Source organism: Homo sapiens, chromosome 17 (assembly GCF_000001405.40).
Source record: "Homo sapiens chromosome 17, GRCh38.p14 Primary Assembly".
Taxonomy (NCBI): domain Eukaryota; kingdom Metazoa; phylum Chordata; class Mammalia; order Primates; family Hominidae; genus Homo; species Homo sapiens.
In genome coordinates this window covers 68,914,459-68,926,562 of record NC_000017.11, presented here as the reverse complement: position 1 = coordinate 68,926,562, position 12,104 = coordinate 68,914,459, and the positions used below count along the sequence as shown (strand labels likewise).

General features: G+C 36.2%; 1 protein-coding gene across 8 annotated transcripts in view; it reads left to right on the top strand.

Moving 5' to 3' along the window:
* The window catches only part of ABCA8 (ATP binding cassette subfamily A member 8), an 88,104-nt gene that overhangs the window by 28,830 nt on the left and 47,170 nt on the right, over nt 1–12,104 (top strand). For 6 of the 8 annotated variants that reach the window (NM_001375771.1, NM_001288986.2, XM_047435108.1 and 3 more), the window contains 7 exons: nt 1,694–1,862; nt 4,263–4,321; nt 5,071–5,181; nt 7,087–7,262; nt 8,017–8,136; nt 8,378–8,516; nt 9,112–9,202. In NM_001375771.1, the coding sequence (NP_001362700.1) occupies nt 1,694–1,862; nt 4,263–4,321; nt 5,071–5,181; nt 7,087–7,262; nt 8,017–8,136; nt 8,378–8,516; nt 9,112–9,202 (865 nt within the window). The remainder of the gene's footprint in view (nt 1–1,693; nt 1,863–4,262; nt 4,322–5,070; nt 5,182–7,086; nt 7,263–8,016; nt 8,137–8,377; nt 8,517–9,111; nt 9,203–12,104) is intronic. The other 2 variants (NM_001375772.1, NM_007168.4) reach the window with 2 other exon arrangements.

Genomic DNA, 12,104 nt, shown 5'->3' with positions numbered 1-12,104 from the left:
TATTTTAAGGCTTTCTACCCCTTGTTAACATTGCTTATTTAAGACACATACTTAAATATATTTTCTCTGTTCTACTTTTGTTTTTATGGCAAAATCTCACTGACTTTTTTTTGTGTTTCTATCATACTGTATATCCCTGGCATGCTGTGTATAGTTCAGGAAATTTACTCGTGTGACCCTTGTGCTTACTAATTCTTCCTTTTCTCCTTCTACTTATTAAAACATCCTGGTTGTATTATTTTTCATTTTTGTTTATTTTTCCAATGTGTTTATTCTCAGTGGATCCACAAACAGATGTCACTGTGTTTACAATTGCTTATTAGTATCCTCTTAGGTAATTGTTTTCTCTAACCAATTTAAATTTTATTTTGGTGTGCACTATGTGATATATTCCATCTTTTTTTAGTCCTTGTTTCAAACATACTCTAATGATATTACTTTAAATATTCTCTTTGTACATGTTTTATCAAGTTATATCACATATTGTTACATTTTCATGGCTGCATTTTATTTTTTACTTAACATTATGTCACAAAAATATCTTTCACATCCATGCTTTTTCCAGTTTCAAAAGCATAGTATTTTATTATTATAACTAGAAAATTTATTTCATCCAAATAAGTGAGTTGCTCCATTTTCTTCCTAATTGTCTCTGCTCACTAAGCTTGAACTTAAGACCAGAGGTGACTTTGTTCAAAACACTTCTAAAGATAATAAATAAGAATGACAGAAAAATTAACTGGATAAAATGACAGCATTATTTCATGGTAAATCTGGTGGCAGAAGGTATCCAGTTATGGTGGCATGCTTTTATTTGCTAGATTTTTCTTTTGTCAAAAGGGAGAGATAGGTGCTAACAACATACCATGTGGCAGGTATACAGAGAGTGTAAGACATTTATTGCATGAATGAAGGACTGAACATGTGAGAAATACACAGAAGTTTGAAAACCCATAACCTTACAGTGGGGATAGTTGCAGAATATTAGTGAAGTACGATTCTTCCGTTTCATAATGTTTCCTAATATGAAGAAAAACAGAAGTGATCATAGAATACTAATACAGCTGGATTCATTTCCAGCAAGATGTTTATGAGTAATATGTCTTTAAAGCAGATCATAAATTTGCTTAAGAGGAAAATTATGGTTTGGGAATGAAATAAAGCAGAAATACAAAATAGCTTTAAAAGTATTCATTTTGTGTTAAGTTTCAATTAATTATTTTATCGTGTTCTTTTTCTTTCTTACAAATGTGTCATTTACTTTTCTTAAATCCTATTCTATCTTCTTTTGGATTTTTTTTAAAGGTATCCAATAGTCATTCTCAATTTCTTCTTTCTTTGCCTATGTAATGACACCTGGTCTTCTAGACAGAATTCAGCATGCCTGCATATCTTACATTAGCAATTCAATCTGTCTTTCTTGAGGTTAAGAAATTCTAAAACATTTATTTAAATTCCTTTTGAAATATTTAAAAATCACAGTTTCATTGCTTCCGATAGGATTTATTATAGTAGAGACATCTGGTATTTTTTTTTCCTTATGAAGCTACATGTGTCAAAACGTGCATTACCTGCTGTTGACCACATGTTCAGGTTTAGCAACAAAGGGCTGTGTTGCCGTGCTACATTACTGTGACTCTCTCTCCCTAACGTGGTCATTGACCCAATATTTAATTGTCTTCTGGCCATGTAGATGAATATGGACATCGACGTCCACCTTTGTTTTTCCTGAAGTCCTCATTTTGGTCTCAAACACAAAAGACTGATCACGTGGCCCTTGAAGATGAAATGGATGCCGATCCTTCATTTCATGACTCTTTTGAACAAGCGCCTCCAGAATTCCAAGGGAAAGAAGCCATCAGGTAATAAGGCTGCAGGTGGAGAACAGGGCAAAAAGGCAGGAAGCTAAGAGATAGCACCTGAGGCAAGCAGTGTTCCCTTTTGTGCTCTGTAGACAGTTCCCACCTGTCCTCACCTATGCTGCTTCTGTCACTTTCCATCTCAAGTTCAAAGAAAGATCCCTTTACCAACCCCTTACAGCCTAACATTGTCGACATTTACACTAAATAAAAGCTTAAATTTTACCAGCTAAGATAATTCAACAAAACCCTTGCCCGGATTCAGTCTTTTACTTGTTTCTCTTCACCCTCATTGCTTTCTGGGTCTCAGTTATTCACTCTTTGTCCCCACCTCATCTATCTCCCTTTTTTTTTTTTTTGACGGAATTTTGCTCTTGTTGCCCAGGCTGGAGTGCAATGGTGCAATCTCAGCTCACTGCAACTTCCACCTCCCAGGTTCAAGCGATTCTCCTGCCTCAGCCTCCCAAGTAGTTGGAATTACAGGCACCCACCACCAAGCCCAGCTAATTTTGTGTTTTGAATAGAGACGGGGTTTCTCCATGTTGGTCAGGCTGGTCTTTAACACCCAACTTCACTTGGCCTCACAAAGTGCTGGGATTACAGGCATGAGCCACCGCGCCTGGCCTTTTCTCTCCACTTTTTAAACTTCTTATTTTTCTTCTATTTTTTGTCCTTTAAAAGAAGATGAAAGAGTAAGAAAGAAGGACAAAGAAAAGGCCTAGAGGTAGATACAAAGGGAATTCAGGGAGAGGTGCCCTGCAGAGTTAAGCCTATCTCATTCTGTGTGACAACAAAATGTCCATTTTGTTTGGTGCTGGTGACTTTTATTTCTAGATATGAGAAAATAGGAAGAAAGTCCTTAAGATCCTTGGCTGTCCAAGTCATACTCATCATCAATGACCAGCCTGTGTCAGTCCCCTGTGAAATGTCTCAGATTATCCCAGGTTGCTGAACTTCTAAGGAGCCCATTTCATTTTGTTCTTTTAACCTGTTCCATATTTATCTTCCATATTTTTATTTGTCCCACAACTAAGCTAGGTTTACTCTAGCAGAGCAGCTCAGAGCAAAACAGTGGCTTTATTTGAGGTGCTTGTGTGTTTCTTTTTGTTCCTCTTTGATCGCTTTAACACCTTGCCCAATTATAAGTGCTGTGGAATGAGAGTAAAATGGAATTTAAAATAAGAATATTTAACGAGACAGTTTTGGCCAGGAGCGGTGGCTCACACCTGCAATCCCAACACTTTAGGAGGCTGAGGCTAGTGGATCACTTCAGCTCAGGAGTTTGAGACCAGCTTGAGCAACATGGCAAAACCCCATCTCTACTAAAAATACAAAAATTAGCCAAGCATGGTGCTACACGTCAGTAATCCCAGCTACTTGGGTGACTGAGGCACAAGAATCGCTTGGACTCAGGAGGCAGAGGTTGCAGTGAGCCAATATTGTGCCACTGCACTCCAGCCTGGGTGATAGAGCAAGACTCTCTCTCAAAAAAAAAAATAATAATAATAATAATATCTAATTAAATAGCTTTATATGAATAGAGACTGAATATTTTATGAATAGTAGATGATAAAATAAGAAACATAAATTTGATTTGGCCTATGGATTATATACTTACCTGGTAGAATAAAACCATGCAGATTTATCGCCTAGAATTCCAGACCTATAATAGTACTAAGCATAAGTTAATTTCATTCCTTTCTGTAGCCATCATCACCATGTAACCAATATCATCTTATATGCACTGTACATGCGAGATGAAATATTTTACTTGCCTTCCAACACAGCCCTAAAGCCCTGCAAAAATTTTCAGGTTGTGAAACCTGAAGCTGATCTGGAATAAGTACGTTGGTTAAGGTAACAGAGCACTAAGTGGTTGTAATGGGATAAGCTTAGATGGGCAGTACTGTGAACCCCATGCTCTTGCTATTATGATACATTGATTGTCTTTCTTACTGTAGTTCTTAATGAACCTTGGGAGACCTTGAATCAGGATGGCCAAAGATCTTTCCAACCTGTGCCAGTGGTTCACAGGAGCCTTTGGGTATCGAATGTCCATGTCATCTCTTGGCCTTGCTTTCTTAGCTTTGCAGTTCAGAGGTGATCCCGTTCTCAATACTAATATTAGCTTATACCCCAATCTATGGAACCTTTGCTTATGGGTCCCAATCACAGTGAAATTCTTATAACTCCTCACATGTAACTCCTCACATGACGCCAATGTGCAGACAGGGTTGGCAAGCGGTATTCTAGCTGATTCTGTCACACAGCTATGACTGTGTGAGAGTGAAGACCCAGATCTTCATGTATCCTGAAGTTAAGATTTATCCAATCCTGTCTACCAAACTGGAAATTACAAACTGAAGAAAATTGTCACTTTGAAGTATCTTTTCTTTTTTTCAGAATCAGAAATGTTACAAAAGAATATAAAGGAAAGCCTGATAAAATAGAAGCCTTGAAAGGTAAAAAAAAAAAAAAAAAAAAAAAAAAAAAAAAAAAAAAAAAAAAAGAGAGAGAGAAAGAAAATATTTGTTATATTAGTATTGATTTCCTGATTTTAATTCAGTTTTGCTTTCGGTGATTAATTAGTGGTGGTATTTTAGACTTGAAAAGAGTTATTTGAGCTGCATAAGACTTTTTTTTCTAATGTATTGCTTCTACTTTATAAAAGTTAGAAAAAAATGAATATGTTTTAGAAATAGATGTATTTAGAATCTATACTGGGTAATATTGAGGTAGTCTAAGGATATTCTGGGTTTTTTTTTCTACAAACTCAAGTTTTTTGTCTGTAATCCAAAAGCTATTGGTAGATACTGTATGTTTTTCTTTTGTGTGAAAATGTCACTTACCTCAAAGGAGTTTTAGCCATGTAATAACTTACTATTAATCTATTCTTCCATTTAATAAATACTAACATTGACCTACCATATGCAGGCAATGTCAATCAACCTATTATATAGATATGTTTCATTCATTTAAACTAAGTAATTTCAAAATTTCAAAAGAAGCTATTTTGAGAAATAAGTTTATAGAGGGAACTTTTAATGTTTTATTTTGAATTTAACAACCCACTATATTTATATATAGAAAAGACAACCATTCAAGAGAATTAATAACAATTCATTGGCTCCATAATGGAATATTTTTTGTGGTTTTAATTGTTTTCCATCCCTTTATCTTATCTTTCTTTCCTTTCTTTTTTTCTTCCTAGATCTGGTATTTGACATTTACGAAGGCCAAATCACTGCAATACTTGGTCACAGTGGAGCTGGAAAGTCAACACTGCTAAACATTCTTAGTGGGTTGTCTGTTCCCACCAAAGGTACAAACTAGTTTGTTTTCTTTTTTTTTAAATTATACTTTAAGTTTTAGGGTACATGTGCACAACGTGCAGGTTAGTTACATATGTATACATGTGCCATGTTGGTGTGCTGCACCCATTAACGCGTCATTTAACATTAGATATATCTCCTAATGCTATCCCTCCCCACTCCCCCCACCCCACAACAGGCCCTGGTGTGTGATGTTCCCCTTCCTGTGTCCAAGTGTTCTCATTGTTCAATTCCCACCTATGAGTGAGAACATGCGGCGTTTGGTTTTTTGTCCTTGCAATAGTTTGCTGAAAATGATGGTTTCCAGCTTCATCCATGTCCCTACAAAGGACACGAACTCATCATTTTTTATGGCTGCATAGTATTCCATGGTGTATATGTGCCACATTTTCTTAATCCAGTCTATCATTGAGGGACATTTGGCTTGGTTCCAAGTCTTTGCTACTGTGAATAGTGCCACAATAAACATACGTGTGCATGTGTCTTTATAGCAGCATGATTTATAGTCCTTTGGGTATATACCCAGTAATGGGATGGCTGGGTCAAATGGTATTTCTAGTTCTAGATCCCTGAGGAATCGCCACACTGACTTCCACAATGGTTGAACTCGTTTACAGTCCCACCAACAGTGTAAAAGTGTTCCTATTTCTCCACATCCTCTCCAGCACCTGTGGTAAAAACTAGTTTATTTTCAAAGTCAATTGACAAATAAATCAGCTGTTAATATGAAATTCTTTCAAGTGTTAATCACAAACACACATACCTAGGGAAAAATGGAATTTTATTTAATAGTAATATTCTGTGGAAGTATGTAATATTTAATTGGTATACTGCATATGGAATCTGAGTATTTCATAATAACTATTTTCATGCTCATTAGTTGCTATTTGGCATTCCAGCTTCTATCTGTCAACTCTTTTTTTTTTTGTTAAGCAATAAGGTATTTATTTTTTTATTTTTTAAAATTTTTATTTTAGGTTTGGGGGTGCATGTAAAGCTTTGTTACATAGATAAACACGTCATGGGGGTTTGTTGCCTATATTATTACATGACCCAGGTATTAAGCCCAGTACCCAATAGTTATCTTTTCTGCTCCTCTCCCTCCTGCAACCCTCCCCCATCAAGTAGACCCCAGTGTCTGTGATTTGCCTTTTTGTGTTCATAAGTTCTTATCATTTAGCTCCCTCTTATAAGTGAGAACATATGGTATTTCATTTTCTGTTCCTGCATTAGTTTACTAAAGATGATAGCCTCTAGCTCCACCCATGTTCCCACAAAAGATATGATCTCATTCTTTTTTATAGCTGCATAATATTCCACGGAGTGTATGTACCCCCATTTTCTTTATCTAGTCTGTCTTTGATAGGCATTTAAATTGATTTCATGTCTTATTGCTCCTCATGATTCTGTGGGTTGACTGGGCAGTTTTTCTATTCTGGACCAAAGTGACAGGGGCTGGATGATTTAACATGGCCTCACTCACATATCTGGGGCTTCAGTTAGGACAGCTGCGTGTCTTTTCCCACATGGAAATATATCTTTCAGAAGGCCTGCTGGGATTCTTCACCCAATGATCCCCATGATCCCAGCAGCAAGCAAAGACAAATCACTAGGTGGAAGCTCTTCATCAGACTCTGCTTGTATCACATTTGCTAGGATACTACAGGGTATATAGGCAAAGCTAAATGTGAGGGGCAGACAAAGGGACTACACCTTGATGGGAAAAGCTGCAGATGAGAACATATTTTGAATATACTATGCAACTAAAGTAGAAGTTTCTAATGCCTGAATTGTATAAACTGTCAAGATAAAGTCATACGTACATTTAATTAACAGCGATTTTATTAAGAAATATCTTAAGCCTTATCTTGATATTAACTTTTCCTTTGTTACAGGTTCAGTCACCATCTATAACAATAAGCTTTCAGAAATGGCTGACCTAGAAAATCTCAGCAAGCTGACCGGAGTTTGTCCACAATCCAATGTGCAATTTGACTTCCTCACTGTAAGAGAAAACCTCAGACTCTTTGCTAAAATAAAAGGGATTCTGCCACAAGAAGTGGATAAAGAGGTACAAAAATATGTTAAAGTTAATGTGTTGGTCAAAATGAGATTATTAAAACCATTTGCACTGAGTTTTAATTTTAAATTATTTGTGCGCAAATCATTGTACAATTGTTGGACAAGAAAATCCAATTTAAACAATAGCTAACATTGCATATAATTTACAATGCGCCAAGCATATCCTTAACTTTAAATCTAATAAATCATTTATTCCTCATAGCAACCCTATGAGATAGGTGCTATTATTATCCCTATTTTATACATGTGGTTCAAGAGAGCAAGGAACTTGACCAACTTAGTAGTCAATGTGTGTGACATTCAAACCCGGAAAGTTTGGCTCCAGTGTTTGTTCTTTTTTTTTTTTTTTTTTTTTTTTTGAGACAGAGTTTTGCTCTTGTCGCCCAGGCCGGAGTGCAATGGCCCTATGCCGGCTCACTGTAACATTTGCCTCCCAGGTTCAAGCGATTCTCCTGCCTCAGCCTCCTGAGTAGCTGGGATTACAGGCACGCCGCCAGGCTTGGCTAATTTTTGTATTTTTAGTAGAAACAAGGTTTCGCCATGTTGGCCAGGCTGGTCTCGAACTCCTCACCTCGTTATCTGCCCGCCTCAGCCTCCCAAAGTGCTGAGACTATGGGTATGAGCCACCGCGCCTGACCCAGTGTTTGTGCTTTTAACCATTTACACTTTACAGCCTTGTATTTATAAATTTTTAAAAAAGGAATAAATTTTGGTGTATGACATAAATACTGTCTTTTGGTTAGATACAAAGGGTTCTGCTGGAATTGGAAATGAAAAATATTCAGGATGTTCTTGCTCAAAACTTAAGTGGTGGACAGAAAAGAAAGCTAACCTTTGGGATTGCCATTTTAGGAGATCCTCAGGTGAGTCACATTGAATTTGCAGGTGAATTCAAAGTTTAAAAAATGGAACTTTTGGTAATAGTTCAAATATTTTATTCGCAAAGGACATGTGTTATAAAATATTCATAATAGAACATTAAATAGAGTATCTAAATCCTAACCGTAATACTCTGTTAAATATAATCAATATGGTTTTTGCGTTGTTTTCTGGAAGAACTTCACCTTTGAGGAAAACCGCCTTATATACTTTCCTCGTTTATAGATTTTCCTGTTGGATGAACCAACTGCTGGATTGGATCCCTTTTCAAGACACCAAGTATGGAACCTTCTGAAAGAACGCAAAACAGACCGCGTGATCCTCTTCAGTACCCAGTTCATGGATGAGGCCGACATCCTGGCGGGTAATCACTGGTTTCTGTTAAGTATCCTGAGGAGGACTTTAAGAGATCTAAAAATATGGATTGGTCTCTGAACAGTTATATTTTGTAATTCGGTAATCTAGCTGTATCTGGTAAATTGAATGGCTGGTGGTAATTTGAACTGGACGCAAAGCCTCTTGCAACCATTTCAGTGTATCTTGCAGAATTTTGTATAATTTGGTCACATAGAAGCATGATCTGCCAGGAAACTCGCTTATTGCAAAATAAGTGAAGTTGAGTTTCTAAGAGATCAATCCTTTTACTCAGAATTGAGGGAAATCCACTTGAAATATTCAAATGATTTTAATGTTTCATCTGTTAAAATATATAATGGGATAATTTTCTATATTAGAACATATATCCACAAAATTTAACCTCCCTGATGGGATGGATTGCAAAATTCACGTAAACGAGATTAAAATGTGTCTATTTCATTGAGTCCTTATCGAGTCCTGCATTTAAAACCTTAGAAGCTCCTGAATTAAAGTTTGATTATATAGATGATTACCTGTCTTTTCTTGGAAATGGATGGGCCACTTTTTAACAAACTTTCTTCTTTGCTCTTCTTCTTTTTCAGACAGGAAAGTATTTCTCTCCCAAGGGAAGCTAAAGTGCGCGGGCTCTTCTTTGTTTCTAAAGAAGAAATGGGGGATTGGATATCACTTAAGGTAAGGTCACTTAAGAAGGCTGGGAGTAGATCTAGTGTAAGGCTTGATGCTTGAAGCAAAACATTACAACACACAAGAAGAATTTGTATTATTGTTATTTTTTGTTTTGTTTTGTTTTTGAGACGGAGTATCGATCATCTCGGCTCACTGCAAGCTCCGCCTCCTGGGTTCACTCCATTCTCCTGCCTCAGCCTCCCGAGTAGCTGGGACTACATGGGCCCGCCACCACGCCCAGCTAAGTTTTTTTGTGTTTTTGGTAGAGTCGGGGTTTCACCGTGTTGGCCAGGATGGTCTCGATCTCCTGACCTCGTGATCCGCCCGCCTCGGCCTCCCAAAGTGCTGGGATTATAGGCGTGAGCCACCGCGCCCGGCCAAGAATTTGTATTATTATACACAGGTGTTTGTACAAACATGTACACGTATTTGTGTCTACCTAGTTAGTATGTATATGTAAGAGATATTGATCTGGAGATTTTAGATATTGAGAATATAACAACAAAAGTTTAGATAAATATGACTAAAAAATATATATCTGCAACACAGGTTTTATTAATGGAGGTATGTATTAAGGGAATCTTTTCAACTGACACACTTGTATTTTACACCTTCATCATCTCTCATCTTCCCAGGGTGTTAATATATTCTTAAGTCGGCTACTTGCTTCCACTCCTTCTAGATCTTCCCCTTCTTTCTTGTTCTTCTCCTCCCATCCATCCTCTTCATTTTATTATCTTTATTTTGAATAGCAGCATATTCTAACTGTAATTTACTGAGTGACTCAGATAAGATATTTAACATTATTTTACTTAAACCTTCTATCTTTTAACTTTTAATTTTAAAGGGTATATAGTAGGTGTATAGATTTATGGGGGTACATGAGATATTTTGATACAGGCATACGGTACATAATAACATCGGATAAATGGGGTATTCATCACCTCAAGCATTAATCATTTCTTTGTGTTACAAACATTCCAGTTATATACTATTTTAGCTGTTTTAATATATGTTGACTATAGTCAACAATATATTGCAATATTAATATAGTCTGTATAGTCATATTAATATATTGTACATGTAATAAAATCTGTGAAGAACGTCACAGTAATATAATATAATTATATTCACATGTAATATAATCTGTGAAGAATGTGCTATCAAATACTAGATCTCATTCTACTAACAGTATTATTGTACCCATTAACCATCCCCCCTTCCCCACCACCCCACTACCCTTCTCAGCCTCTGGTAACCATCCTTCTACTATCTCCATAAAATCAATTGTTTTAATTTTCAACTCTCACAAACGAATGAAAACGTATGAAGTTTGTCTTTCTGTGCCTAGCTTATTTCACTTAATATAATGATCTCCATTCCATCCATGTTGTTGCACATGACAGTATCTCATTCTTTTTATGGCTGAATAGTACTCCATTGTGTGTATGTACCACATTTTCTTTACCCAATCATCTGTTGATGGACACTTAGGTTGCTTCCAAATCTCGGCTCTCGTGAATGGTGCATCAATAAACACGAGAGTGCAGATATTTCCTTGACATATTGATTTCCTTTCTTTGGGGTATATACCTAGTAGTGGGATTGCTGGATCATATGGTAGCTCTATTTTTAGATTTTTGTGGAACTTGAAAACGTTGTCTATAGTGGCTGTACTAATTTACATTCCCACCAACAGAGTACGATGATTCCCTTTTCTCCACATCCTTGCCAGCATTTGTTATTGCCTGTCTTTTGGATAAAAGCCATTCTAACTGGGGTGAGATGATGTCTCATTGTAGTTTTGATTTGCATTTCTCTGGTGATCAATGATATTGAGCCCTTTTTCATATGCCTGTTTGTCATTTGTATGTCTTCTTTTGGGAACTATCTATTCAGATATTTTGCCCATTTTGAATTGGATTATTAGATTTTTTCCTATTAAGTTGTTTGAGCTCTTTATATAGTCTGATTATTAATCACTTGTTAGATGGATAGTTTGCAAATATTTTCTCCTACTCTATGAGTTGTCTCTTTACTTGATTGTTTGCTTTGTTGTGCAGAAGCTTTTTAATTTGATGTAATTTCATTTGTCCATTTTAGCTTTAGTCACCTCTGCTTGTGGGGTAGAGAAATCTTTACCCAGACCAATACCCTGGGAAGTTTCCCCAATGTTTTCTTGTAGTAGTTTCCTAGGTTGAGGACTTATAAGTAAGTCTTTAATCCATTTGGATTTGATATTTGTAAACAGTGACAGATAGGAGTCTAGGTTCATTCTTCTGCATATGGATATCCAGTTTTCTTAGCACTGTTTATTGAAGAGACTTTCCCCAATGTATATTCCTGGTCCTTTGTTGAAAATGAGTTTACTGTAGATGTATGGATTTATTTCTGCATTCTCTATTCTGTTCCACTGGTCTATGTGTCTGGTTTTATGCCAGTACCATGCTGTTTTGGTTATTACAACTCTAGTATAATTTGAAGTCCGATGATGTGATTCCTTCAGTTTTGTTCTTTTTGCTAAGAATGGCTTTGTCTACTCTGGGCCTTTTGTGGTTCCATATAAATATTAGTTTGTTTGTTTTTTATTCTGTGAAGAATGTCATTGGTATTTTGATAGCGATTGTGTTGAATAAGTAGATTGCTTTGGGTAGTATGAACATTTTAACAATATTGATTCTTCCAACCCATGAGCATAGAATATCTTTCCTTTTTGTGTCCTCTTCAATTTCTTACATCAATGTTTTATGGTTTTCACTATAGAGATCTTTTACTTCTTTGGTTAAGTTTATCACTAGGTATCTTATTTTATTTGTAGCTATTGTCAATGGGATTACTTTCTTGATTTCTTTTTCAGCTTGCTTGCTGTTAGCATGTAGAAATGCTATTGATTTTTGTATATTGATTT